Raw genomic sequence first — 27,865 nt, 5'->3', positions numbered from 1 at the left:
TTGCAAATTTCAGGTCCAACCAAGTGCTAGTATCCAGAATGTGCCAAGAACTCTCAAAATGCAACAGCATTTTTTGAAAACCCAAATACAAAATAGACAAAAGACACTAATAGGCATTTCACCAAGAGTATATACAGATGTCAAGTAAGCACATGAAAAGATGTTCGCCATTTCCTGGCAAGGTATTGTTATGAACCGAATGTATATATCCCCCAGATTCATGCGTAGAAGCCCTAACCCCGTGTGGCTGAATTTGGAGTAAGAAATAAGGTTGAATGAGGTCATAAATTGGGATCCTGATAAGACAGGATTTGTGTCCTTGTTAGAGGAGACCCCAGGGAGTTGGCTCCCATTCTCTCCACCTACACACACCAAGGAAAGTCCACATGAGGACAGAGTGACAGGGGCCATCTATAAACCAGGAAGGGCCCTTGCCAGGAACTGATGCTGCCACACCTTGATCTGGGACTTCCAACCTGTAGAATGGTGAGAAAACGGTTTAAGGTGCTGAAGTCGCCCAGCCTGTGGTATTTTGTTACGGCAGCCGAAGCAGACTAATACACATGAAGATCATGGTGAGGCAGCATGACACATCCATCAACATGCCTTAAATACAGTGTAGAAACAGCACCACAAGCTGGTGAGGATGGGGAGAAACTGGGCAACTCACACATTGCTGGGTAAATGTAACGTGGTACAGCCACCCTGGAAAAGAGTGTGGCAATTCCCCCTCCCAATACAGCAAATACCACCACCAACAGCAAAACATGCCACTACGGAACAACCTGGCAACTCAGTCCCTGGGCATTTGCCCCAGAGAAATAAACATGTACGGTGTGGCAGAGAATTAATGCAGTTGGTCTGGGATGCTCAGAACCTGCTCATTCCAAGAGAATGTCTGGCCTTGCCTGGCTCCAGGGAGGAAGCCCAGAAACCACTGAAATACTCGCCTGATAAGAGTGTCTTTTCGTAGCTGGGGCTGTGGGCAGTTTATGCTGACGGCCTGATCTATGGTGGGGCCCTGGGCCAGGTGGTGTCCTTCAGGGAGTTGGGCTTCATGAAGTTCTTCGAGTCCTTTTAGGGAGTCGTCCAACTCAAGGATGTCTGGAGGACCTCACCCGACAACACTTATGTTCACACAAAATTCTGGACACGAGTGACCTTAGCAGGCTTGTTCCTCAAAGCCAAAACCTAAGAACAGCTCCTCAGAGGCCTTTCAAGGGCCAAGAGGTTAAGGGCTGGGAGTGGGTGTGGAAATAAAGAGGAGCGTTTGGAGATCCATATTAGAGGAGGAATGAACAGGACTGGGCCACAGGTTGTTTAGGACATAGGGACATACAGGATGAGGAAACTTTCCCAGAGTCCTAGACTAATACACAAATTAACATACACGGGCACAGGCCGGGGGCAGTGGCTCATGCCTGTAATCCCAGCACTTTGGGAGGCCAAGCTGGGAGGATTGCTTGAGCCCAGGAGGTTGAAGCTGCAGTGAGCTATGATCATGCCACTGTACTCCAGCCTGGGTGACAGAGGGAGACCCTGTCTCTAAAGGAATTTAAAAAAAAACACTGGTGCAATTTATTGACAGTCTGGGTCACAGCCAAATAGAAGAAGAAGAAGATTTGGGGGTTGGATTGTTTTTAATATGTAATGTCTGTGAAACAACCAAGCCAGAAAATCAACAGAGCAATTCTATATCTATGTAATTCTGAATGAAGATAAAACCTTGGGCTTATAAGCATGGAGATAATAATTAATGCCTTGGAAATGGATTGCATCACCCAGAGGTTATGTTTTTAAGTGTAGAGATAGAATAATAAGGCCATAACTGAACTGTGTTGCACTGGAGATTGTAAACTGAGGCAGAGGAGTCTCTGCTGGCAAAAGCTGCTGGGGAGGAGCATCCAGAGAGGGAGGAGCACGTTCTGATGTCAGGATCCAGAGAGGAGAGGGTCCTCAGAATCGCAGGTGAGCCCCTCACCCGGACTGCTGCCAGGATGTCCAGGAAGATGGGCAGTGGAAAGTGGCCATTAGGTTTTTCCCACAACAGTTCATCAGTGGCGAGAGAGAGAGGAGTTCTGGGACGATCTGGTGGGAGAGCAAAGAGTGTAGGAGAAATGAAGAGGGAACCTCCAGTGACCACGGTGAAAGGTGCTGTATGTTGACTTCACGGAAATTTAACTCTGAAGGGGCCCAGACACACTGGGCTCTTGAATAAGGTTGGCCAAGTGATGTTAAGGTTTTTTTTTTTTTTTGGCAGAATTTTGCTCTGTCACCCAGGCTGTAGTGCTGTAGCTTGATCATAGCTCATTGCAGCCTCAACCTCTCAGACTCAAGTGATCCTTCTACCTCAGCCATCACCGCTGTCTAGCTCTGGAATCCTTTTCATCTTGTGAAACAGAAACTTTGTGCCTACTGAACAGTATTCCCCATTCCCATCTCACCCCAGGCCCTGGCAACCACCATTCTACTTTCTGTCAATGATTGAGACTCCTCAGCGTATCTCATTTGAGTGGAATCATACTGTGGCTTTCACTCAGCATAATGTCCTTAAGGTTCGTCCATGTAGCAGCATGTGTTAGAATTTCCTGCCTTTCTAAGGCTGAATAACAGTCCATTGTATACATAGACCACATTTTGTGTATCCTTTCATCTGTGGATGAACACTTGGCTTGTTTCCATATTTTAGCTATTGTGAGTAATGCTGCTATGAAGATGGATGTACAGATATCTCTTTGAGAACCTGCTTTCAATTCTTTTGGGTATGTGAAAGGAAAATAAATCTAAGGACCCAAAAATCACTAAGCCAAAGGAAAAGTCAAGCTGGGAACTATGTCAGGCAAACCTGCCTCCCATTTTATTCCTAAATAAGATAGCTACAAAGATTAAAAACAGCGGCTGGGCGTGGTGGCTCACGCCTATAATCCCAGCACTTTGGGAGGCTGGGGTGGGCAGATCGCCTGAGGTCAGGAGTTCAAGACCAGCGTGGCTAACATGATGAAACCTCGTCTCTACTAAAAATACAAAATTAGCCGGGCATGATGGCATGCACCTGTCATTCCAGCTACTCGGGAGACTGAGGCAGGAGAATCACTTGAACCTGGGAGGCGGAGGTTGCAGTGAGCTGAGATCGCGCCATTGCACTCCAACCTGGGCAAAAAGAGTGAAACTCCATCTCAAACAAAACAAAACAGCTACATACCTCCCTCACAATTTGCCTACAAGGGAATTCCTCGTGGGCCTCAAGATCTTTACCCTAAAACAGTTCTGTTGAATTTCACCCTGGCAATATAAACTGATAGATGATCTTCAAATATGTAGGACAGAAAGTCATCCCTCTGCTCACCTGAGACAGATGCATATTGGATTGCTTCCTCTCTCTGCCTATTGTTTATGCAAAAATGCAAATTCACTGAGCCAGACCAAATTGTGTATTCAGTAAAAGGTTGATAAAAGACTCAGAAGAATACAACCGTTTGTCTCTTATCTACCTATGACCTGGAAGACCCTGCCTCTTCAAGTTGTTCCACCTTTCCAGACTGAACCAATGTACATCTTACACATATTGATTGATGTCTCATGTCTCCCTAAAATGTATAAAAGCGAGCTGAGCCCCAACCACCTTGGGCACATGTCATCAGGACCACCTGAAGCTGTGTCACAGGTGTGTCCTTAAACTTGGCAAAATGAACTTTCTATTAATAAACTGAGACCTGTCTCAGATATTTTGGGTTCACAGGTATATACCCAGAAGTGGAGTTGCTGAAGCATACAGCAATTCAATTTTTAATATTGTGAGGAACCATCATACTGTTTTCCACAGCTGCTGTACCATCATACAGCCCCACCAACAATGAAGAAGGGTTCTGACTTCTCCACATCCTCACCAACGCTTGTAATTTCTGTTGTTTTTTTTTAATGGTATTCATCCTAATGGGTGTGGGGTGGTGTCTCATTGCAGTTTTGCTTTGCATTTCCCTAATGATTCATGATGTTGAGCATCCTTTCAAGTGCTTGCTGGCCATTTGTATACCTTTAGAAAAATGTCTAGTTAAGTCCTTTGCTCTTTTTTTTTTTTTTTTTGGAGGGGGTGGACAGAGTCTCACTGTGTCACCCAGGCTGGAGGGCAGTGCTGTGATCTCGGCTCACTTCAGCCTCCGCCTCCTGGGTTCAAGTGATTCTCGTGCCTCAGCCTTCCGAGTAGCTGGGACTACAGTCATGCACCACCATGCCATGCTAATTTTTGTGTTTTTTGTAGAGACGGGGTTTTGCCATGGTGGCCAGGCTGGTCTTGAACTCCTGACCTCAAGTGACCCACCCTCCTCGGCCTCCCAAAGTACTGGGATTATAGATGTGAGCCACAGTGCCTGGCTGCTTTGCTCATTTTTTAAATTGGGTTGGTGGTTTTTTTGTTGTTGAGTTTTAGTAGTTCTCTATATATCCTGTTTATTAATCCTTTATCAGGTATATGATTTTAAAATATTTTCTTCCATTCTGTGTGTGGTCTTTTTACTCTGTTGATAGTGTATTTTGATGCACATAAAAATTTAATTTTCATGAAGTCTAATTTGTCTTTTTATTTTGCTATTAGTGCTTTTGGTGTCATATGCAAGAAATCATTGCCAAATCCAGTGTCATGAAGCTTTTCCTCTATGTTTTCCTCTAGGAGTTTTATTGTTTTAGTCTTACATTTATGTCTTTGTTCCATTTTGAGTTAATTTTTATATATGCTATTAGGTAAAGATCCAGCTTCATTCTTTTGTGTGTGGATGTTCAGTTTTCCCAGCACCAGTTGTCGAAAAGATTGTTCTTTCACCATTAAATGGTCTTGGCACCCTCATCAGAAATCATTTGACTATACATCTGGGCTCTCTATTCTATCAGTCTGTATGTCTATCTTTATGTCAGTACCACACTGTTTAGATTACTGTAGCTTTGTAGTAAGTTTTGAAATCAGAAAATGTGACTTATCCAGCTCTGTTCTTCTTTTTCAAGATTGCTTTAGCTATTCGGGGCCCTTTGATATTTCATATGAATTTAGGATAGGTTTTTCTATTTCTGCAAAAAAGTAATGGTATTTTGGTAGAGATTGCATTACATTTATAGATTGTTTTGGGTATTATTGATATCTTAACAATATAAAGTCTTCCAATCCATGAGCATGGAATATGTTTCCATTTATTTATGTCTAATTTTTCTCACTAATGTTTTGTACTTTTCATTGTACAAGTCTTTCACCTCCTTAGTTAATTCCTACTTTTTTTTTTTTTTTTTGAGATGGAGTTTCACTCTTGTTGCCCAGGCTGGACGGTCCCATGTTTGGAACAGAGTGGGGCCGGGGGCCATTCCAGAAGAGTACCCAGGAGAGAATGGGCTCTGAGCCGGCTGCCCAGCCCCCTCCTGCTGTATGCGGCTCTGTGGAGAGCGCATGGCCTGTTTGAGGGCTTCTCCCCTCCCCTCTCTGCTGCCTGGTCCGCTGGAGCTCTCCCTTCGCCACCATGGGGCTCAGTTAAAGAAAACACTGATCCGAGCAGATGAGGGGAGGAACAGCCCTGCTGGGGACAGAGGTGGGCGTGGGGGCATGTTGTCTCCCCTGATGTGCAGGCGGTGGCTGGGGGAGTGTCGGGCGGGGGGAGTGTGGATGAAAGCCCAGACTCCAGCCTGTGGGTCCCATCTCTAGACTTCCCGACTCCCAGGTTCCCCAAAAGGTCTGTAGTGTCCCGGGCACCCAGGCCCCGATCTCAGATGGAGGGGGCACAGTGTCTCCCACAAGCGGCTCAGCCCAGCCTCAGGGCTCCTCACGCACACCCAGGGCCTCTGGAGTGGGCAACTCCTGCATCCTCTGCTTCCCTCAGCTCAAAACCAGGGCAAGTTCGAAATGCGTGCTCGCCCTTCTTGACCCCTGCTCAGCCGAGCCCCAGGTTGGGGGTGGGTATTGGAGGTGAGGCAGCCTCTGGCCTCATTGGAGGGGGTTGGTGGGCTGAGCAAACTGGCAGAGGATGTGCCCTACAGGGTGGGTGTGAGGTGGGGAGCAACTGAGGCAGATGCCTGTGTGGCCCTGCTGACCTAGCCCAGGCAGGGTGTGACAGGTCTGTCCAGCCCTGAGGGCACAGCTGTCTCCAGTCTCCAGCTCATTCCTGATCCCCAGGGTCACGTGTCCAGAAAACCTGGGCACTCAGATCAGCTGGGCACAGATGGCCTGTCCTGCCTCTGCACCCCCATAACTCCCTGTCAGCGCTGGCCCACACCTAATCAGCCAGCCAGTACCGAGGAGTGGGCCCAGCTTCCAGCGGGGAGGGCGCTGGCCAAGGTGCTGACCAAGCTGGCAGACACAGGAAACCAGCCTGTCCCTCTGCGGGCCTCTGCCTTGCTCCCACTGCACAGACCTGTGGGGAAGTGGAGGCCCAGGCCCCAACCCAGAGCAACTGGGGACAGCTGGGCTTGGTGGCTGGAGAGGGTTCTGATACCAGAAGTCTCCAGGGCAGCCCTGGCTCCCCATTTCCTCCCATGCCCATCCCATGCCCCAGAATGGTCACTTCGGCTGCTCCAGGAGGGGTGGGAGGGGCATTAAACCTATGAGAGAGGGGGTGGGGTCACAATCTTCAGCTGTAGTGGGCCGCTCTGGGTCACTGATAATGGAAGTGACGCCTGCACAGTAAGCACAGAAGTGTCTCAAGGCCTCTCTGCAAGCACAGAGCAGCCCAAGACTGGAGCCTGGTCCACCCCAGTGCTGTCCTCAGACTGATGGCCAGTGCCACATGACTCATCTAGGGTCTGATACATCCCTGTGGCAAGAGCTCAGTTCCTAGTCTGAAGGCTGCTGTGTGCAGGGACCCTGGAGGAAGAATGCTTGTTTGGGGGTCAGGCCTCAGCCTCCCACTGGCTATGTGAGCTTCGCCTGAGGTTCTCCATCTGTGCAATGGATGACGACGTCTTGATGTGGCTCTGGGAGGACCCGTTGAGCCACCGCAAGGGCTGAGATGGTGGCACTTGGCAGCCAGTACCCCCTGGGGAGGTGGCAGTGTGTGCACAGCCCACCCCTTCAGGAGGCCAGGGGGCAGAGTGGCTGGGGGGTGTCTGGGCCCCACCTCACCTTCTGTGCGACTGGGAATGGCATGCACTCCACAATGCCCTGGTAAGCCTAGGCTGGGACAAGGGTGATAGGGATAAAGCAGGCCAAGGTGATGAGGGCTACAGAGTGGCAACCAGAGGTGTGTGGACAGTGCAGCCTCCACACCAGGCAGAGGGCCCGGCCCATCCAGTATGTCTCCGTCCCGCGAAACTGCCTGCCACTGGGCTGAGATGGGAGCACCAGGGCTCTGGTAGGTCCTCACTTCCTCTGGACAAAGCAGGCAGGCCACCAGCCTTGCACCCTGCTCATGTCCCTCAGGGCCACCTCCATGGCCAGGGGCAGGCAGAGAGCACAGGGCTGCCCAGTCACCAGGTCTCTCTGCTTCATGTCAGTGGACCTGGGCTCTAAGGAGGGCCATCAAGGCCTCAGGCTGGCCCACTCCATCCCTGAGTCAGGGTCCTACAGACTGACACCAGGTGGGCCTGCAAGACCCTCATCTGCATGGTCCTCTCATGCAGGGTGGGCCTGGGGAGGACCCAGCCCGGCTGAGCTGACTCCCAGCACTTCTCCAGGTGCAGGGGCAGCCTGGCAGTTGTCTCAAGACCCCGGGATACACTTAGGAGCACATCAGTGAGGCCCGGTGGGTGCCCCGAGCAGAAAGCAGAGAAGGGACACCTGCACCCCTGTGTGCAGGGGTGTCACTGGGTTCTTTGGCCCCATGCCCGTCCCCCCTCCCCCCTGCCCCATGAGAGCTGGCTTGGTAGAGTGGGGGATACTAAGGAGGTGGCCTCCGAGAGCGTCTTCTGGGTTTGGAGTCCCCATTCCGCAGGCGGGAAGAGGTGGGAGACCCCTGAAGGGTTACGGGTAACATCAGGCCTGGATCCCGTCCCTAGGGTGGTGCAGAGAGGGCCACAAAGGCCCAGGAGGGCCCCCAGAACTCTCTTAAGCCTAAGAAACAGTGCAGAGCCTGTTTCTTACTGAAAAATGGGGGCGACCGTGCTCCAGCAAGGGCTTCTGTGCAGGGGGCCGGCGGGGAGGGGTTCATGGGTTTCGTGAGGCCAGGAAGGGAGTGGGTAGGCAGAGGCCATGCCCAGGCCTCCGGACAAAGCCCTTGCCCGCTTGGGGAGCGGGCCAGCTTAGGCCGCCACACTCTCAGGCCTGGGGCCTGGCCCACTGCGGCCCGGGCCGCCATCCCCTCGGCCTCCTGCAGGGGCCGCCGCCTCTTTAGGAATACACCACCTTTGTCTGGGCCCGCGCGGCGCGGGTGCACTGCGCTGGCTGAGCGCCTCCTGCTGCCTGGCCTGCAGCGCGCCCCGGCCCGCTGCGCCGCCCAAGAACCCCCCTCCGCCCCCCTCGCGCCCGCGCTCCCGCCGGCCCGTGCTCCCCAGCCCCAGCCCGGGCCCGCGCCCGCGCCGGCGCCCAGGTGAGCGCCCCGCCCACCGCGAGGCCCAGCCCGGGTCCGCCCCCGGCCCGCCCTGGCCGGCCCAGGGGAACTGGGCGGATTCCTCGAGTGTCAAACCACCTGATTCCATAAGACATTCATCCTCCCGGAGGCCCGCGCCGCCCTCGCCCTGCACGCCTAGCGTTGTCCCGCGGCCAGGCCCGGCCGGAGCGGCGGCGCCTGGATGTGGACCTGGCTGCGGGGAGACGGGCGCCGGCCCCAAAGCGACTTTCGGTCCTCGACGCGCCCCGCCCCACCCCTGCGATGAAGAGGGCGTCTGCTGGAGGTGAGTGTCTGCGGTGCGGGCCTAAGCTGGCAGTCAGGCCCTTGGATGGGGAAACAGGCAAGTTAGGGGGGGCCTAAAAGAGGTGGATGGGGTAGGTGGAGCCGTAGACAGATTCTGGGGAGAGGACTAGCTTCCAGGTCGAATCCCTAGCGAAGCCTTGCCCATCATCCAAGCCCCACACACCACTGACCCCGCCCCCTCCCAGTCCAAGGGCAGCCTGGACCCGCTAGATAAGCCGCTGGACTTGGGGCCGGCGCTGCCCCCCCAAGATGGAGGCTGGCACGTTCAGCAGTGACCTGCAGACCCCACGCCCAGGCAGTGTTGGTGAGGTCGGGGCAGCCACACCTGGGGAGGGACATGGGTTGACCCCCATCTGACCTCAGTCTGACAGTGGTCTACATCCCCAGAGAGTGCCCTGTCGGTGCAGAGGACCAGCCTCCGCCACCCCCCGACGCCTGCCATGTACAAGTTTAGGCCGGCTCACGGGTCCTAAGGCACCTTCTGTGGATGAGGCGAGCAGGTAAAGAGGCGTGGCCTGCCCCCCACTCCTCCCCCGCCTTGCCCCCTGCCCCCTGCACGCCCAAGCCCTGTCCCCCCAGGCCTGCCTCCAGGAGCTCTCCCCACAGCTTTCACCCCGTGAAGGGCCCCCCCTGAGCCCTGCCTCTCCAGCAGAGGCCACATCCCCTGAGGCCACACCCCTCAGGGCTCTGCCTGGGTCACCAAGGGCCTTGTGTGACTGGTAGGACCCTGCCTGTGTGCACCCAGAGCTGGGACCCACGGAGAGGAGCAGGGTGTCCTGGAAGGGGCTGGCACGGGACGTCCAGGCTTGGCATCTGTCCCTTGGCCAGCGTTGTCCTAGGCCAGGTGGGCGGCTGGCTCCAGGAGCACTGGGTACCAGGATGCGTGGAATTCCACCATTAGTCACTCTGTAAGGCCTATGGGAAGACTTTGGAAGAATTTGAGACCTGCTGGAGAAAGCACATTTTTCTTCCCTGAGTTGCATGAGTGCTCTGTGGTCACTGGAATGGTGAGCAGCGCAGGGCGGTCTTTGCAGTGATCAGGAATGCTGAACAGCCCCAGGGCGCCGTCCCTCCTTCTGGGCCACCCGGAGAGGCAGGCCTGTGGCTGGGCCCGTGCACCCAGACCAGCCCCATCCCTGGGGACCTCTCCCCTCAGGATTGATGTCCTTCCTGGAGAGAGTCACATGGTGGAGCAGTGAGTCTAGGCTCCTTGTCAAGGGTCTGAGTCTGCAGGCATGCAGGGGCCATGCCTCTCAGGAGGCGGTAGCCCTGCTTGGAGATGAGGGCTCCGGGTATGTCATCTTCCTGGGACTCCTGGGTCCAGTGGGGGATTGGGTCTGGTTGGCCAAGTGCATTGAGCCTACATTGGCCCTGATCGCCTTCTGGCTTTGTGGTTCCTGAGGCTCTTGTCCCTAGCCCAAGCCCAAGCCCATGCCCACGTGCCCATCAAAGAGGCTAGACGAGGCCCCTCCTCCCTGTGGTTGCCCTGAGTGGTAGGCCCCTGGGACTGCGTAGCTCAAAAGGCTGAGCCCTGGGTGTCTGCAGTAGCCAGCTGTGGCCTCCCTCCCGCTGCAGAGCCCCTGCCCCTCAGCCATGGATGCTCAGGGACAGGGCCATGGGTCACTATGTGGCTCTTAACGGCTCCTTGAGGCCCAGTTCCTGAGGCCGCGGTGCCAGGTGTGGACCCCGTGGGTGCTGACTGGCAGCTGCAGGCAGGGTAGCAGGTGGGCAGTGGTGAGAATGCCTTCTCCCTACAGGTTCCAGGCCCCGATTCCCTTATCCTGGGGGACGACAGCATCCATAGCCTGGACTTTGTGTCGAGCCGAGCCTGGACTTCCCTGACTATGGGCCCGGGGGCCTGCACGCAGCCTACCTGCCATCCCCACCGCTCAGCGCCTCTGATGCCTTCTCATTGCTTTGTGCTCCCTGAGCCTCAAGGCCTCAAGCCGGCAGGGCGGGGACTACGTGGCCCTGCAGCCCCTGTGCTCCGAGGGTGGGCCTCCCATGCCCCACCGTAGCATCTTTGCCCCCCCATGCACTGCCCAACCACAATCGCAGCCTGTCCTACAATAATGTGCTCAACCCTGGCTCGCCTGGTGGCCACGCCTGCCTCGCCCATCCAGCAGTTGGCGTGGCCGGATACCACTCACCCTACCTGCACCCTGGGGCAACGGGCGACCCACCATGGCCCCTGCCCCACAGCTTCAGTCCCGTGCTGGGCCCCCGGCCCCAGGAGCCCTCGCCTGTGCTCTACGACATCCTGTCCAGGACCATCATGGCATCCATCCAGGAGCGCAAGGACAGGGAGGAGCGTGAGTGCCTGCTGCGCTCCCAGGCCGACTCACTCTTCGGCGACTCAGGCGTCTATGATGCTCCCAGCTCCTACAGCCTGCAGCAGGCCAGTGTGCTGTCTGAGGGCTTCCGAGGTCCTACGCTGTGCTACAGCTCTACAGATGACCTTGTGGCCAGGCCCGGCTTCGGCGGCGCCTGCAACCCTGTCCTGCAGACATCATTGTCCTCGCTTTCCAGCTCCGTGAGCCGTGCACTGCGGACGTCGTCCTCCTCCCTGCAGGCTGATCAGGTCAGCAGCAACGCCCCGGGGCCCCGGCCCAGTAGTGGCTCACACAGGTCGCCCGCACGCCAGGGCCTGCCCTCCCCGCCCGGCACTCCCCACTCACCATCCTACACAGGCCCCAAAGGTGTCACCTTCATCCAAATGGACCTCCTAGAGCCACCGCCCTCGCTGACCGTGCAGAGGTGGGTGCTGGGAGGTGCGGGTGGGCTTCCTGGCACAGGGCAGCTGTCCAGCCGTCTGCAGGGCCCCTCTTGGCTGGGCACTCATAGGTCATCCCAGGGGCCTGAGTTTTTCTCTGGGGACGGGACAGGGAGGATGCGCCTCACCCTGCATTGAAGGCTTTGGCTAGCCCGTGTGGCCCAGCTCTGAGGATGTCCTGGGCATGCTCTGGGGACAGGGTATGAGAATTTGTGTCCTGATCCCAATGACTTGTTCTTCCAGAGCTGGCACAGACCCAGCACGTAGGAGGCCATGGGGCTTTCTCTTTGGGGTCAGTATCATGTGGCAGCCTGGGCCTCCTTTAGGCTGTGGCTCTGGCATCCTGGGTCACAGTGGCCCTGTCTACCCGGTGCTCTCCCTGGGCCTGCTTTGCTGCATCTCTAGGAGGCTGGGGCTGAGGACATTACCTCGCAGCAGAATGTGCCTCCCTGGGTGGCCGGGCCCTGGCCCTCCCTGTGGGACATAGTTCTGGGAAGCAGGGGCTTCCCTGCTCGTAGTGGGGAAACTGAGGACTGGAGAAAGCAGGCTGGCTCCAGGCACCCAGCAGGTTGGTAACTGAGAGAGCGGGGTCAGCTGGCTTGTAGGCCCAGGCCCAGGTAGGAGAGCTGCACACCTGCTGGGGCCAGGACCCACGCCACGGACGCATGGTGTCCTCACGGCATCTGTCGTCTGTCACCCCGTCTGGGCCTGGAAACCTCAAGCACAGGCTCAGCTGTTTCCTGTCGTCAGATGCGGCCCCAGGGGGAGAGCCCAGCCCCGCCCAGCCCAGCCCAGGCCACTTGGCCACAAAGGGGCTGAGGGCACAGCAGTCCAGCCCTGAGGAGGCCTCCCCTACCCCACAGGGTAGGAGTCTGTTCAGCTTTTGTGGAGTTGGGGAGGAGGCTGCCACTGGGAGTGATGAGTGGGGAGCCCGAGACCTAGAAGTGGGCAGCATTGCAGCCAGGCAGGGATCGCAGCCCGGGGACAAAGGGCTCTCACCTTGAGAAGGTTTAAGCAGCAAGGATAGAGCTGCTGTTGGTCAGCGCTGGTGGGCAGGAGGGCAGCCCCTCGTTTTCCTGAGAGAGAGCAGGAATGAGGCCAGGCAGAGTGGCCGGGCTCCCAGTGCAGAGCAGGGCAGGGGCTCCATTCAGTGCCCACCTGACTGCCCCATGCTCTCTGTGGCCAGTGCTGCCTAGGGACCCAGGGACTTGGGAGGGTGGTGGCAGTTCTGACAACATCTGTCCTGTGATGGCACAGCCGCTCCCCAGGCAGGCTCTGCATCTCCCTCCTACTTTCTGGGTGAACCCTCCGAGCCTAGAGGGCAGGGACTGCCCAGGGCCCCACGACATGGCTACACCAGTCCACGTCTGTGTCGTCTCTGTCCTGTTGCCTCCTCCGTCCTCTGTCCCCGTGTTCGTGTGTTCACCGTGTGCATGCGTGTATGTGCTTGTTTTGATGCAGGGACCACCCTCAGCTGAAGACTCCCCCAGGTAAGCTTAATGGGCAGTCTCTGGGCCTGGCCCGGCTGGGACCTGCCACAGGCCCCCCAGGGCCCTCTGCCAGATCTATGTGGCACACGCTGGTTAAGAAGGTGTCTGGCGTGGGTGGGACCATGTACGAGATCCTGGTGTGAGGACTGACCACCACCCATCCGCCGTGGTGCCACGGGGACCAGGACCCCGCAGCACACCCCCGTTCCCCATCAACTTCTCTGCCCCAGGGACCCAAGGCCACCCCAGCCTGGTGTGGACCCATCGGCGGGAGAGAGTGCCACGCCTCCACAGCTTGCCGCAAGCGCTCTGCCTGCCTGTCCACTCATCTGCCCGTCCACTCATCTGCCCATGGGGAAGTTGGCTCACTGGGCCAAGGGCCACTGGGCTGGTCTGTGTCTGGGCCCATCCCATGGCTGGGGCAGTGAGGGGGCCCAGTCAGTCTCTTTGGGGCACGCTCTCTCAGCCAGGCTTGGCTCACTCCCATCACCCATGCACCCCAGGTCATTGCCAGGCCAGCCCCCAACGGTCCCCTTACGGATGGGTCCCAGAGATCGACAGAGGCACCCAGGGCCCCCGCCGTCCTTCCGACACAGCCTGTGGGTTCCCAGACCGAGTGTCCCCAGCCAGGCTACTCCTAACACGTTGCCTTTCATGGACCCCGCTGGAAGCTCGTAGCTTGGCAAGGCCAATGATGCTTCTGCTCTGATCTGCTCTGGGTAGTGGTGGATGGGTGGACAGATGGCCAGCCATGTGTCAGTGTTCCGGCCGCCGCCGTCCCTTTCACCAAAGCCTGAACCTTTTTTTATGCTCTTATGGGAGGCAACGGGGCAGGCGGGAGCAGGCACGGGGGTGATGCTGCCACGGGGCCTGTGACACCCAGAGCCTCCTCCCCAGCCCTCAGGCCCTCCCTGCCAAACTGGAGAACCCTGCCCCAAGGCATGCCACGTCCCCAGCCCCGGCCTGGCTGCGGTGCTCACGCCGTGGCAAAGCACACTGGGGAGGGGTCAGTGCTTCCCTTGGTGTCAGGGACCTGAGAGTAAGCACACAACAGCGTCCGCTTGCGTTGTTTCTGTTTTATGTTTTTATATCTACATCTATATATCTATAATTTTATTTTAAAAAAGTTATTTTGATTCTTTCCTCAGGCAAGGCCAGGGCTGTTGCTGCAGAACCCCCAGAGTTAGGGGAGGGCAGGGGCCAGGCCTCAGAAGAGGGGGTGGCTGCTGTCTGGTGTGCAGGGATCGGTGGGTTCCTTGGGGGCATTTCTGTGGACTTGGGCTGAGTCAGAGGCTTGGGAGGAGGGGGTGGCCGATGGTCTGTGGCTGGGAAGTGTGAGGGTCTCTCGCCTTGGGTCTGCATCAGTTCTGGCAGTGACAGGGTGTTTGGGGGAAAGACTTGGGTCTGCCACTACCCACAGGGGAATCCCAGGAACCCAAGAGCTTGGGGAGATGAAATAGGGGTGCATAGGGGCCACCTGCTGGCACAGGGCCCTGTAGGGGCTGCTGAACCTGCTGGAACTCTCCTGCCTGCCAAATGCCAGGGGCAGCGCTGAGGGAGTGTGAGGGGTGCACAGCTGTTCGGGGCTGAGACATCCTGGGCTGAGGCTATCTCAGTGCGGGAAGGGTGTGAGCTCTAGGGCCCTGAAGCTGGTGCCGTGTTGACCAACTTTCTGCTTCTCTCTCACGGATGCCACAGCCCACAGGGGGTGGATTGGCACCTGCACCTGTGGATGGGGGCAGTGTGGCCAGCCTTGGGTGCCTCCTGGGCTGCTCCTGTGCCACCTTGGCCACCCAGAGGACCACCCACCACTGCGGGCCCCCTGGAGCCTGGTCGCCAGGGCACCCCCATGCGGGGCCATGTGCTGCCTGCCCTTGGCTGCCTCCAGTCTTTTCCCCAGCCTTTCCGGGCCCTAGCAGGATGACAAGTAGGCGGGTCTGGGACAGCCCAGCTGGGGACCCAGGAGGTCAGACTGCCATGGACCCTGGGGCAGGGCTGGGGGTGGGCTGGGCTCTCTTCACCAGCCACAGCTTGACAGACTCCCAGCCTGCCAGCGCCTGAGACCCTGTGTCCACGTGACCTCAAGGAGTCCCCCACCTGCTGCAGGGGGTCCAGCACCCCACAGGGGGCAGCCCCAGAGCTGTGGGGACCAGCACAACCTTTGCCCGGCCTCCCTGCCCAACCAACCTCTTTAGACTAAGCCACTTCCTCCTCTGGGAGCCCAGGCCTCCGTGGAGTGGGCTGGGTGGGGGGGTCTCAGGTTGCCCCCAAAGGTTTCTGCACTCCTCCTTCCCTTCCCCTGACACATGAACAGATGACTTAACTTCCTGGAGCCGCTAGCCTGGTGAGCCATTGGCCCCTGCCTGCCACCAAGGTCCTGTGGTCATGGCCAGCTCTGCCTGGGCCCCGCTGGGGTTGCCTGCTCCCAAAGATGATGCCGCTGGGAGCTCAGAGGGCCCAAGGCCCAAGTCCTGTGTCCTCCAGCAGTGGTACAGCCTATGGCAGCGTGGCATCCCGGCCAGCCCTTCAGCACAGGGTCCCTGTCCCTGGTTTACCTTGGGCTGCGGCTCTATTTCTCCCATTTTGGGATGAGAAAGCCACAAAACCATTCTCTATTGTTCTTAAGGGTATCCCTGCTAATTAATTCCCCAGATAGAATTTTTGGTGTTGATCTCCACAGTTCTGTCTACCAGTGTGGCCCCCTGGACCGGACAGGGCCCTGGGTTGGGGAGGTGACAGGACCTGGGCAGGGAGGGTGGTGGCCAGGAAGGGAGGGGAGTTGCATGAGGGGCATGAGGTCAGTGGATCAGCAGGTTCAGTGCTGAAAACCTGACCTCTGAGGTCCCTGGGAGGGCCTGGCCCAGGGGGCAAGACCTGAGGACTCCCCAGTCCTTACTGCTGTTGCCTTTCAGTGGAGACCCTCCTAAGACGCCTTGGGTCAGAGCCCCGTGCAGAGGGGCTGCCTTCTGGAGGGCAGGTGGGATGTGGGGTGGGAAGCCGGCCCTGAGCTGGGGTCTCCACCCTGAGGGACCCTCGCTGCCGGATCGCCCCGGCGTCCCTTCCCCAATTTCCACAGAGACGTGCTCACCGGCTACATATGTCATGATTCTATGTCCAACCACAGGCCCAACCCTCAGGACAGACCCCGCCACCCCCCTTCTCTGCAGCTCCTGGCAGGGACGGTGCACAGTGGTGCCGTGTGCAGGGGGCCAGCGCAGCCACTGGGCATCTGGGGCAGCGCTGGTCGCCTGGCCACCTCCTTGCTGGGGCCGCTGGGCCTCCGGCCTAGAAGGACAGGAAGCCATCCACCTCAAGGCGCAGGAAGGGGTCCAGCAGGGCCCGGAGCTTCCAGATGGTGGCACGGCTCAGCAGGGGCGGCACCAGCCCCTCGAAGGGCCTGGGGTTCACCATGTACACGTAGGCGACCAGCAGGGTGCCCAGCAGCAGCCTCAGGATCAGCAGCCTACGGGCGGTGGCAGTCAGGGCCAGGGGCACGCAGGGGGCCTGGGGGCTGGGCTCTGCCACACAGTCACCTACCAGAGCTGGCCTGCCAGGCCCTTGGAGCTTTCCAACTTTGGTCTCCCTTTCTGATGGGGAGGGGAGCCCACTCCGAGGGTCCAGGCTGAGGGCGGGGATCCCTGGCTTTGGGAAACCCTCCTCAGACAGGGCTCCCCGCACCGCAGCCCTGGCCCCTTCCTCCTGGACAGGCTCCTGCAGCCACTTTTCAGATGCCCCCCACCCTGGACCTGCTCTGCTGGAGCTCATTTCTCCCCCTTGCCCAAGCAGGGTGCTGGGTGGGGGGCTGGTCTCCAGACCCAGAGTGGGGCGTGGGGGGCTCACTGCCATGCTCGCCATCTGCGGCTCCTTCTTGGCCTGAGTGTGGCACTGGGCCCGCTCCCTGCAGAGGCCTCACTGTCAAGACCCCACGCCCTCCACCCCCCAGCCTGGCACCCACCCCCGGCTCAGTGCTATGGAGGTAGGTGGGGAGGGTCAAGGATGTATCTGCCTTGTCCTGACCAGAACCCCTTCCGAGACCCTGCTCAGCTGGCCCAGCCCCTGCCCCTGTGTTACCTGAGAATCTCCAGCTGGATGTCCTCCATCTGGTCCAGCACGCCCCAGATGTCCTTCTTGAGGTTCTGGGGGCCAGAGGAGGTAAGCACATGAGGCCCCTGGCCCTGCCCTCCCCGGCCTCTTGCCCGCCGGGCCCCATCCTTCTGGGTGCTGCCTTGTGGGGACCTACCAGGAGCCCGGTGGCCTGGTTGTTCAGGGCCACGTGCATCTCAGCCACGTTGTCCCACGCCTGGGAGAAGGTGGGGTCACGCCTGAGGAGCAGGACCCACGGGGTGGCCCCCAGCACCCCTCCCCCTCAGCCAGGCGGGCACCTCTGTGATGACCATCTTCTTCCTCTCAAAGCACAGGCGGATCTGCTGCAGCTCGTTGAGGGTGGGGCCCAGGGTGGGCTTGGGCAGCATCAGCAGGGTGGCCGGTACCTCCCCGCCGGGCCCACTAGCCTACTGCACGAAGACCTCCCTCCCTAATGAACCCCTCAGGCCCACCTGGAGTGCTGTACGAAGCTTCCTCCCCCCACAGCCCCTCCCCCAGGCCCACCAGGGACGGCTGCACGAAAGCCTCTTGCCCCTGGGACAGCTCCCGCCGCAGCAGCTGCAGAGGTGCCCTGTTCCCCAAGGGCTGCGTGCCAGCCGGGTCGGGGGGCTGTGGGAGAGCCCCCAGATCAGCCCCAAGGCTGTGGGCTAGTGGGGCATTGGCTGCATGGGGTCCCTGGGCCCTGTACTTACCCAGGCCAGAGCAGTGCAGCTTGAGTGTTCGGGACACAGGGGCAGGAACTGCTGCCCCGGCCCCAGGAGGGCCCCCAGCTGCTCCCGAAGGTCCTGGTTCTGTCTTTTCTGGGGTGGGGAGCAGAGAGAGGGGACTGCTTGTCATGGCCGCTCCTGGGGCTGGGGCTGGGGCTGGGGCAGGGGCGCCAGGTGATGGGTGGGTGCTCACCAGGCTGTGGTTCTCCTGCTCCAGGAAGGACTGTTCTGCAGAGCCCAGAGGCCCACACTGAAGCTGGGACAGGGCTGCCTTGGGCAAGGCCAGGGCCCCTCCCTCTGATGACAGGGGTGGGCATGGGCAGGGTCTGACCCCGGAGCCAGTGAATCCCCCCTGCCTGGGAGCCCCCTGGTTCGACCCTGGGTGCAGGGGCCAGCCCCACCCGAGCCCTGACTCCAGGTCTCCTTGTCTCAGCCCTTCAGGGTTTCTCGCTCTCTGCTCCTCGCTGGACAGAAAAGATCCTGGCAGCCTCGCCCTCCACCCTGGATCCCCTCCCCACTACCCCCTGCCCCTGGGACTGGGTAAGGTCTCTGGGACTGCACTGAGTGAGCAGAGGAGATGGGGCCCAGGCAGGGTCACACTACAAATCCCTGGCAGTGCTAGTCCAGGCATCCTCCATGGCTGCTGGAGGCTGCGGCTGGGGGACACTGGGGTTGGGCGTGGCCGCAGGGGCCCAGGGTTTTCAGCCCCTCCATCCTTCCCTGCAACCCCTTCCTGACCCCAGGTCCAGGCTCTGGCCTGGCCCGACCTGCTGCCCTCTTATTGAGGGCTCTGGGTGACCCACTGGCTCCCAGTCACAAAGGCCTGGGTGCAGCCAGGGAGGTCACAGTGGGCCCCTTCCACCTGGTCCTGAAGCTGCCCCGCCTGATGACCTCACTGCCTCTGACCCACCAAGAGTTTTTTTTCTTTCTTTCTTTTTATGGGAAAGGGCCTTGCTCTGTCACCCAGGCTGGAGTGCAGTGGCACAATGATGTCTCATTGCGGCCTCCAATCCCTGTGCTCAGGCAATCCTCCCATCTGAGCCTCCCAAGTAGCTAGGACTACAGATTTATGCAACCATGCCCGGCTAATTTTTAAATTTTTTGCAGAGATGGGGGGGTCTCCCTGTGTTGCCCAGCTGGTCTCAAACTCCTGGCCTCAAGCGATCTCTTGCCTCAGCCTCTGAAAGTGTTGGGATTACAGACGTGAGCCACTGCACCCAGCCTGGTTATTTTTCTTAAGATGTAAAACCGATAATACACACACAGTGTGGATTCAAAAAATACCAAACAATAAAAATGGCGCCCAAGCCTTTCCCACTTCTATCTCCTGTCCCTGCAGCCAGGAGCCGCCTCTTTAAGCTCCTCCTGGAGGTGGGCTGCCGTCCTCTGCCCCTCGTCCCCACGGAAGAGGTCATTCTGTAGCCCAGCTTTTATTTTCGCCTAATGTATCTCTGAGGTTTTAAAACATTCTTTTCTAGCTATCTATTGAACATTTACTTTATGCCAGATCCAGTACATGCCATTGTTATCCTCTGTTTACAGGTGGGGAAGCTGAGGCAGGAAGCCCTTTAGTCACTTGCCGAAGGCCACGCTGTTACCCATGGGACCGGTTTTGGGCGGCCGAAGAGCACTCATGGGGCCGGATTCACGCCCCAGGCCCGTTCCCTCCTGCTCTCTGGTGCTCCTCACGCCATTGGCCCCACTGCCTCTCACTGCCCGTGAGTCCCTGTGCCCGTGTCCTCCTTCTTGAACCCCTCAGCCCTCAGTTAACCCTCAGAAAGCTGGCTCGGAGAAGTCCTTGTGTGGTATCTGGGAGGCAGAGTTTGCCGTGAGCCGAGATTGTGCCACTGCACGCACTCCAGCCTGGGCGACAGAGCGAGACCCCATCTCAAAAAAAAAAAAAAAAAGGCCTCACGGGACTAGAAGCGTCTTACCCTGACCTCACACCTGCTGGACATCAGGCTGGGGAGAGAATCGGGGAAGAGGGCATTTTCCAACAGGACTGGAAGGCCAGTCGTGGTCCTTGGTGGTGAGAGCTAGCCAGGCCGCCGGCCTTCTCCCTGGAAGCCTGCAGGGTCCCCTCTGATCCCTGCACCTCTGGGGGGTCACACCAACTGCGGGTGTTTCCTCACCACGCTGGGCGCTTGGTGAGCACGTTCTGCCTTGAGACCTGGCATTTCTTTGATAACATTTCTTCTCGTTTCCTGCTCATTCTGGAACTCCTGTCAGTCAGATGTTGGGCCTTTTGGATAGATTCTGTGAGTCCTTCTTTCTACCTTTGCTTGTAGATAAGATTTTCCTTGAATCCAAACACACACACTCTCTCTGCTTTTTAAAAAATTAGTTTTGGGGCTGGATGTAGTGGCTTACACCTGTAGTCCCAGGCACTTTGGGAGGCCGAGGCAGGCAGATCACTTGAGGTCAGGAGTTCCAGACCAGCCTGGCCAACATGGTGAAACCCCGTCTCTACTAAAAATACAAAAAGTAGCTGAATGTGGTGGTGTGCACCTGTAATCCCAGCTACTCAGGAGGCTGAGGCAGGAGACTGGCTTGAACCCGGGTGGCAGAGGTTGCAGTGAGCCGAAATCACACCACTGTACTCCAGCCTGGTGACAGAGCCAGACTGTTTTAAAATAAATAAAAATAAAAAATTGGTTTTGGATTTTAGCAGTCCTGTTTTTCATTTCCAAGACATCTCTATCATTCCCTGAGCTCCCCTCTTCTTGTTCCAGAGAATTCAGTTCTGCTCTTAGGCATAAAGTGGGTTTGGAGGAAGGCGAATCTTTTGCTTTCTGCATTTTCTCTCATGGTTCTTTTTTGTTTATTTAGTCTTGGAACTTCCCATGAGACTCAGTGCTCAAATGTCTGGCTTTTCTTTCTTTTTTTTCTTTTTTTTGAGATGGGGTCTTGCTCTGTCGCCCAGGCTGGAGTGCAGTGGCGCGATCTCGGCTCACTGCAAGCTCCGCCTCCCGGGTTCACGCCATTCTCCTGCCTCAGCCTCCTGAGCAGCCGGGACTACAGGCGCCCGCCACCGCGCCCGGCTAATTTTTTTGTATTTTTAGTAGAGATGGGGTTTCACCGCATTAGCCAGGATGGTCTCGATCTCCTGACCTCGTGATCTGCCTGCCTCTGCGTCTCAAAGTGCTGGGATTACAGGCGTGAGCCACTGTGCCCAGCCTTTTCTTTCTTTTTGATCCCTGTTTATAGGGGAGGCAGGCAGAGCTGCCCGGCACTCCTCTCTCCTTGTTAACTTGAGAAAGCCGGACACCCAGGTCTTGGAAGGGAGGCCTCCTGCCTCCAGGCAGCATCTTGGGCTGCAGGGCTGCAGTCTGGAGTGGGGACAGTCCCGGCTCCCACTCGTCTCGGGCTGCAGGGCTGCGGTCTGGAGTGGGGGCAGTACTGGCTCCCACTCGTCTCGGGCTGCAGGGCTGCGGTCTGGAGTGGGGGCAGTACCGGCTCCCACTCGTCTCGGGCTGCAGGGCTGCGGTCTGGAGTGGGGACAGTACCAGCTCCCGCTGCTGTCCTGCCATGCTTGTTTGCAGCACACGTCTCCTCATACCAGTGACGAGGCTACTGCTTGCCAGCTGCTTGCCTTCTTCCTGCCAGGGTGTCCTGCTATGTCAGCCTCTGCTCTCCACTTCAAGAAGTGTCTTGAAAGATCTTGTCTGCAGAAGACCTCTCTCCTGTTCTCAGTGCCACGTGGGGCCTCCCCAGCAGAGGCGGCTGGATACCTGGCCCTGGCTACTGGAGGCTGTCTGTTAGCTGCCAGAGGGCGGCGGCAGCCTTCAGGAACCTCCCCTGGCCTCTGCCCTGTTCATTCCTTGCTGGAATGTCATGGGTCTCCGGATTTGCTGAGCTCAGAGACCCCATGGGGCAACTTGGGATGGGGGCTAAGGAAGGCCTCTTGGAGGAACCCTGAGGTGAGGTGGCCCTGGGGTGGGGTGGAGGAGGCCTTGAGCAGCAGGGGAGGGGGCTGCCCCCTGCTCTCTGCATCCCTGAGTGAGTGGGGCGGGGCCTGCCCCCTGCTCTCTGTGTCCCTGAGTGAGTGGGGCGGGAGGATGAACCCTGCTCTCTGTCCCTGAGTGCATGGGGCGGGGCCTGCCCCCTGCTCTCTGCGTCCCTGAGTGAGAGGGGCGGGGGGCTGCACCCTGCTCTCTGCGTCCCTGAGTGAGTGGGGTGGGGGGCTGCACCCTGCTCTCTGTGTCCCTGAGTGAGTGGGGCGGGGGCTGGCCCCTGCTCTCTGCGTCCCTGAGTGAGTGGGGCGGGGGCTGGCCCCTGCTCTCTGCGTCCCTGAGTGAGTGGGGCGGGGGGCTGCACCCTGCTCTCTGTGTCCCTGAGTGAGTGGGGCGGGGGCTGCCTCCTGCTCTCTGTGTCCCTGAGTGGGGCGGGGCCTGCCCCCTGCTCTCTGTGTCCCTGAGTGAGTGGGGTGGGGGCTGCACCTGCTCTGTGTGTCCCCAGCCTGCTAGGTGCCCCACAGGGGCCAGGATGCTGAGGAGTGAGAGGTCCTCACAGAGACAGGTGGCTCCTGTAGCAAGGAAGACAACACTGGCTTCCTGGGCGAACAGCAGGGCGGGGTCCTTAGGTCCCACCGTAGGTGCCCAGGCCTAGATGAGCTTCCCCAGTGGCCCCGAGGGGGCGCCCAGGACCCCCTGAATGGCCCAGTGTCCTCCCGTCACCCTTGACCCTGGGCACCACCCTCCTTGGCCTGGAAACCCCAAGTTCCCTGATGCCCCCACTCCTCTCCCCGCCTGTGCCAGGGAAAGCTGCTGCTGTCTCACTCAGCCCTGAAGCCCCTCCTCCCCCAGCCCCTCTCACCCCTCCCTGTGATCCTTGCCAATCACCCTGAGCCCGAGAAGGTCGGGGGGACTCTTGGAGAGACGGGGCCCTGGATCCCCAGCCCTGGGGTTCCCCACTCACGGGGTCATATACGCTAACAAAGGCCAAGCGCCCTGCCAAGCGGTGTCCTGGATTGGGGTGGGCGTGGGGGTTCGCCTCAGGTCCAGGCTCCGGGATGTCGTGCAGGACAGGGCGCGGCTGCGGCGGGGGCACTGGCTGGAAGCCGGAACTCCCGGCCTCGAGGGCGAAAAGTGTGGCCAGAGCAGTGTGCTGGGGGGGCCGTGGCCCCGTTGCCAGGCCGGCGCCTCCCTGGACATCATTTGCAACGGAAGCCGCTTCCTGCCCATGTTGCCACAGTGTCCAGATGGCCTCGAGGAGCCTGGTTCAGAGGGTCTGCCCTGTGCCCTTGCCCCTCCTCTGCTGCCCAGGAATGGGTTGGGAGGGCAAAGAGGAGGAGAGGCTGGGGCGCCCAGCATGGAGACCCGAGTCCTTCCTGCTGGAGCCGGGCTGCAGCGCAGGGCAGGGGCCAGATGGGGCTGTTCTGCTGTCTGCACTGCCGCCTTGATGTTCCATGCCCTAAGCTCGTTTTATTTATTTTCTATTTTTATTTTTTAAAACAGGATCTCACTCTGTTGCCCAGGCTGGAGTGCAGTGGTTCGATCACAGCTCATTGAAGCCTCCAACTGGGCTTGAGGGATCCTCCCACCTCAGCCTCCTGTGTATTGGGGACCACAGGTATGCGCCACCATGCCCAGCTAATTCTTTATTATTTTATTTTTGTGGAGACTGGGTCTCGCTATGTTGCCCAGGCTGGTCTTAAACTCCTGGCTCAAGTGATCTGCCCACCTCAGCCTCTCAAAATGTTAGGATTACAGGTGTGAGCCACCTTGCCTGTGCTTGGCTGTTCCCAAGCTTATCTCAAAAGCCAGGGAACAGGCCCTGAGTGGATGGAACTCGGTGTCACTGGGCTAGCCACAGCCCTCAGAGGACCCTATCTCTGTGCCCCCTCCTAACCTGGGCTCTTGGCCCACACCCACCCAGGCTGCCTGTCAGGGTCTACTCCCTCTCCAGCCCTCAGAGCTGCCCTATGGGGAGGGTTGGGGGTCCCAGGAAACCTGGCCGAAATGGCCATGGGCCCTGGCATGGGCACTACCCTTCATGTCCTCCCAGGGCCTGGGCTGTGGCCTGAGGTGTGAGTGCTCCTTTGCCTCAGGAGGGGAAGAGGTGCGTGGTGGCCTTCGGTCAGGGCCCATGGGGCTCCAAGGGTGGTCTTGGGCCTCCCAGGTTCCCCTAGACTCACAGCCAGGAGGACGGGTCTGCGGGGGGCTGTGTGAGGGATGCGGTGGCCTGCAGAGTGCCCCACCCTGTCCAGGGCCAGGGTGGCGAGTGGACACATGCCCCGAGTGCCGGGCAGCCTCCCCTGCCTTCCCACCCTGTGGGGCACCCCCGAGGGGACAGAGAACAGATGAGGGCTGGGTCCTGGGAACAGGGTGTGGGGGAAGGGCAGAGTGCTGGGGATGCTGAGCCCATGACCTCCCTGTCCCTGGGGCCTTCCCATGTCAGAGGTGAGGCTCAGAGAGGTAAGGGCTCACCTTTTGTCTGCCCCGTCCCCAGCATGGCTAAGCCGCTCCCAGGGTGCGGGCCATAGCAGGCCATTTGTCTCCCTCCTGGGTGAGGCTCTGGACACGGCTTTTCACATTTTTTATTTAGGAATCAGAGAGAGATAAGAATGTCACCTCTCATGGACAATGTGGCCCCAGTAAATGACTGTCAGCCAGGGTGTCCAGGGCTCCAAGGCCCCAGGAGGTGGCCATGCTGGGGCTGCCAGGCCCCTGGCTCCAGGGTTGCCGGGGCTGAACTGAACGTGCCCACCCCTGCCCAGGCCCAGGCTCCTCCCTGTGAGGAGCCCACCGGCTTGGCCAGTCCACCTTCTTGGCACTTCCTGCCCACCTGTCCCTTCTAGTCGGAGCCTGGGGAGACAGTGGAGCCTGGGGAGACAGTGTGGCGAGTGCCTGATGGTCGGTGCCAAGGTCATCTCCCAGGTCCTTGCTGGGGCCAAGAGCCAGGACTCCTTACCCGTCCCCTTAGCTGCCCTGTGCCTGCCCAGCACCTGCTGGGACTAGGCTGCCTATTGGAGCAGGAAACACGGTGCTGGGCTGTGAGCTCCCAGGGCCTGTCTGTGTGTCCCAGTATCAGGCTCCTGGGTTGAGAGAGAGATGGGGGGTGGGTGGGGAGCAGGTGAGGAGCGGCAGGCCCCCTGGAATCCCTCCATGGCCACCCCTTGGTCTCCGGGACTTGTGTGCGGCAGGTACGGGCTGGAGCTGTGGTGCAGTTCCCAGTTTCACCACCAGATGGCACTACGCCCCTGCAGACGCAGTGCCCAGAGCAGGCCAAGTGGTTTGGGAGCTGCAGCTGGAGCATCCAGCAGGGGAAGCTCTGGGAGGTCAGGGGCAGTGCTGGGGGAGCCACCTCCCCACTTGGATCCGAAGTTCTCATGGAGGCCTAGGGCAGGGGCTGACCAGGTAGCCAGAAGTTCCCTTGCTGAGTCTAGGGTGTCTGTCCCACATTTCACATGGAGACGAATCATCCCAGACACCCCGGCACTGTCCCGGGGCAGTTTGCCACCCCTCCCAAGGGGCAGGGCTCCTGTCTTGGGGTCTTCCCAAGCATAGTAGCCTTCGGGCAGCCCCGGCCTGGCCCCAGGTTGTCCCACTTGTCAGTGGGCAGCTGGGGCTGGGGGAGGGGTCCCAGCTCCTGTCCAAGGTCATGACTGCCCCTGACCAGGGTGTGGCAGCCGCTGTGGCCTGGGTCAGTGAGGCCGTGGATGGAGGGTGGCCCGGGTGTAGGCGCTGCTCTCAGCTAAGAGAGACCTCATTTGGAGGAAGAACCAGGAACCAGAGGGATGGCCGGGTTCCCAGCGAGCAGGAGGCCAGCTTAGGGTCAGCAGGGGCACCCTGCAGGGACTCCAAGAGGCAAACCAAACCACATGAAGAGTCATCTGAGAGGGAATGACGGAGGCTGGGGAGGTGGAGCCCCCACCTCCAACTGCTGCCTCGGCCCCCACAGCAGGGGAGGGTGGGAGGCTGGTCCTGGCTCTGCCCTGGGAGATGCCACCTGGGCCTTGGTCTGGGGAGGAGGGCTGGCCGGGAGGCTGGATACGGCCACTGCTCTGGAGTGACCACACCATTTCCACCCTGCTTGCCTCATTCTTCTCATGGGGGCCTCAAGGGGACACACCAGAGGTTTACTGGGGACAGGGCAGGGGAGGGATCTCAGCGCTGGCCTTCTGGGGCCCTGCGTCCACTCTGCCCCTTTCTGACCTGGGCTGGGGCCTCTGCTCTCCTCCGGGCCTGGAGACAGAGCCCTTTTGGAGGCCCTCAGGCCCGACAAGCCTGTTCCTTGGAGCCAGGCTGTGGGCTGGGTGTATTCTGGTGGGATGGGGGATCTGGGGCATGGGGTGGGAGTGGGGCTGGGAGTAGGTTGAGGTTGGTGCCTCAGGCTCTGTGGAATGGGACTGGGATGGCTGCAGACCCTGGGCTTTGGGGTCTGAGCCCAGCCCTGTCCCCAGGCAGGCTGCCCCCTGCAGCCCTGGATTCCCATGTTGGTTGGAGTTGCGATGAGAGGTTCTGGGGCCTCCTTTGCTTCTGTCCAGGACACACAGCTGAGAAGTCACGGTCTGCTGCCTGACTGTGGGGGTTTCAAGCCCCACTGGAGCATCCAGGCAGGCCCTTGGGCGGCAGGGCCTCGTGGGGGCAGGAGGGGACCCTGGGAAGTCGGGAACCAGGCCAGGGAGGGAGAGAAGGCAGGAGCACAGTTGTGGGTGTAGGCACCCACCCCGTCCCGAACGATGTTCCTCCCGGCCCACCCCACTCCAGTCCTCTGGGCCGGCTGCCAGAGGGTGCTGCTTGAGGCCACTTGCTTCCTCAGAAGAAGGTCTCACCTTCAGAGCCAGCCTTTGAGCTCCTGGTGACCTCAGCCTGTTGCCCTTGACCCTGAGTTTGCCTAGATCAAGTGGGAGGCCACTCTTTGGGCCTCAGTTCTCCCGTTCCCAGGGAGCAGGTCCTCTGTCCCCTGACAGCACCCCTCCTCGCTGTGCAGCCACCACTGCCAGGTTTCTGACTAGGCAGTGTTCCCCAGGGGGTGGCTCTGGGCCCTCAGGCAAACAGCCACGCTGGGAGGGGCGGTGGTTTGCACGTGAATAGTGTCACTCGGGTCCTTTGCTTGAAGTTGGCTCTGCTGAGTGCAGCCTGCAGACATTTTCAGGAAACTCAGTCCACAGGCTGGAGGCTTCTGCTTCCCCACAACCCAAACGGCCTCCAGCCAGCCAGAGAGCCATGAGAATCCAGCCACTAGCAACTGCCAGCAGGAAACCCACTACCAGCTGCTCACAGATGGACAGCCCATCCCGGTAGCTGGCCCCACCTCCCCGCCCCTCTGCTGACCAACCCAGCAGCTCCTTGGGTGGGTGTGGCCACCCTGCTGCCCCCACCTGCTCCCGGACCCTGTGCCAGGCGGTGCCTTGCCTCAGCGGGGCCTCGCCTCCCCCAGAGCCGCTCTGCTGCCTGACCTTGTGATATCTTGGGTCCTCTGGGCACTGGCGCAATTGGGTGGGGTCAGCTTTGGCCAGCAAGTGGGGGGCAGGTGGGTAAATCCTCCCTCTCTGCCATCTCCACTTCCTTCCTCCTACCCGGCTTCCCTGCCTTTTCCCCACTCTGGCTCCAGGGTTGCACTTCTCAGAAAGCTGTCGCTGCCCGGCTGCGCACAGGCCTGATTTTCTTGGGAGTCTGGGCTAAGATTCTGACTGGCCCTCCCACTTACCACCCACACCACCACGCAGCTAGCCAGTAACAGGGCCAGGAGTGATCAGGAGGGGGCCCACCTGACCACCCGCCCGGCGCCTCCAGCTGGCCAACTCTGCCCGCTCAGGGCCATGAGCTGGAGGTGCCAGGAGCCTCCCGGGAGGCAGTGTGAGGCATTCTTCTTAGTAAGTCCCGCATCGATGATAAAGGGCAGTATCAGCCCCTCTCTGATGCGCAGTGAGCGGCTCACCATACAGGGGAGGCGTTTAATTTATCTCGGGAACTGGGCGCAAGTTATAAAAATGGTAATTTCTTGGAGATTCAATTACGTGTTTTC

At 59.1% G+C, this 27,865-nt stretch overlaps 2 pseudogenes across 1 annotated transcript, besides 5 other annotated features; one reads left to right on the top strand and one right to left on the bottom strand.

Moving 5' to 3' along the window:
- The first annotated feature begins 8,547 nt into the window (after nt 1-8,547).
- Nucleotides 8,548-20,555, top strand: ZDHHC8BP (ZDHHC8B, pseudogene; annotated as a pseudogene). The gene is given in 6 exon segments (NR_003950.1): nt 8,548-8,799; nt 9,207-9,319; nt 10,577-11,400; nt 17,103-17,234; nt 18,327-18,433; nt 19,436-20,555. The product of NR_003950.1 is annotated as a ZDHHC8B, pseudogene (transcript).
- Nucleotides 10,843-11,616: an enhancer, noted in NCBI's record as "H3K4me1 hESC enhancer chr22:23741731-23742504 (GRCh37/hg19 assembly coordinates)". NCBI's record gives its function as "activates a minimal SCP1, AML or CMV promoter by ChIP-STARR-seq in naive H9 embryonic stem cells {active_cell/tissue: H9 hESC(naive)}" and the evidence as "EXISTENCE:reporter gene assay evidence [ECO:0000049][PMID:30033119]".
- Nucleotides 11,706-12,260: an enhancer, noted in NCBI's record as "H3K4me1 hESC enhancer chr22:23741087-23741641 (GRCh37/hg19 assembly coordinates)". NCBI's record gives its function as "activates a minimal SCP1, AML or CMV promoter by ChIP-STARR-seq in naive H9 embryonic stem cells {active_cell/tissue: H9 hESC(naive)}" and the evidence as "EXISTENCE:reporter gene assay evidence [ECO:0000049][PMID:30033119]".
- Nucleotides 14,176-18,607, bottom strand: CCDC188BP (coiled-coil domain containing 188B, pseudogene; annotated as a pseudogene).
- Nucleotides 17,759-18,259: an enhancer, noted in NCBI's record as "H3K4me1 hESC enhancer chr22:23735088-23735588 (GRCh37/hg19 assembly coordinates)". NCBI's record gives its function as "activates a minimal SCP1, AML or CMV promoter by ChIP-STARR-seq in naive H9 embryonic stem cells {active_cell/tissue: H9 hESC(naive)}" and the evidence as "EXISTENCE:reporter gene assay evidence [ECO:0000049][PMID:30033119]".
- Nucleotides 21,705-22,562: an enhancer, noted in NCBI's record as "H3K4me1 hESC enhancer chr22:23730785-23731642 (GRCh37/hg19 assembly coordinates)". NCBI's record gives its function as "activates a minimal SCP1, AML or CMV promoter by ChIP-STARR-seq in naive H9 embryonic stem cells {active_cell/tissue: H9 hESC(naive)}" and the evidence as "EXISTENCE:reporter gene assay evidence [ECO:0000049][PMID:30033119]".
- Nucleotides 24,127-25,109: an enhancer, noted in NCBI's record as "H3K4me1 hESC enhancer chr22:23728238-23729220 (GRCh37/hg19 assembly coordinates)". NCBI's record gives its function as "activates a minimal SCP1, AML or CMV promoter by ChIP-STARR-seq in naive H9 embryonic stem cells {active_cell/tissue: H9 hESC(naive)}" and the evidence as "EXISTENCE:reporter gene assay evidence [ECO:0000049][PMID:30033119]".

The sequence above is a fragment of the Homo sapiens genome, chromosome 22 (assembly GCF_000001405.40).
Source record: "Homo sapiens chromosome 22, GRCh38.p14 Primary Assembly".
NCBI classification, from domain to species: Eukaryota; Metazoa; Chordata; class Mammalia; order Primates; family Hominidae; genus Homo; species Homo sapiens.
The sequence above is the reverse complement of the archived record's forward strand: the minus strand, read 5'-3'. Positions and strand labels throughout refer to the sequence as shown.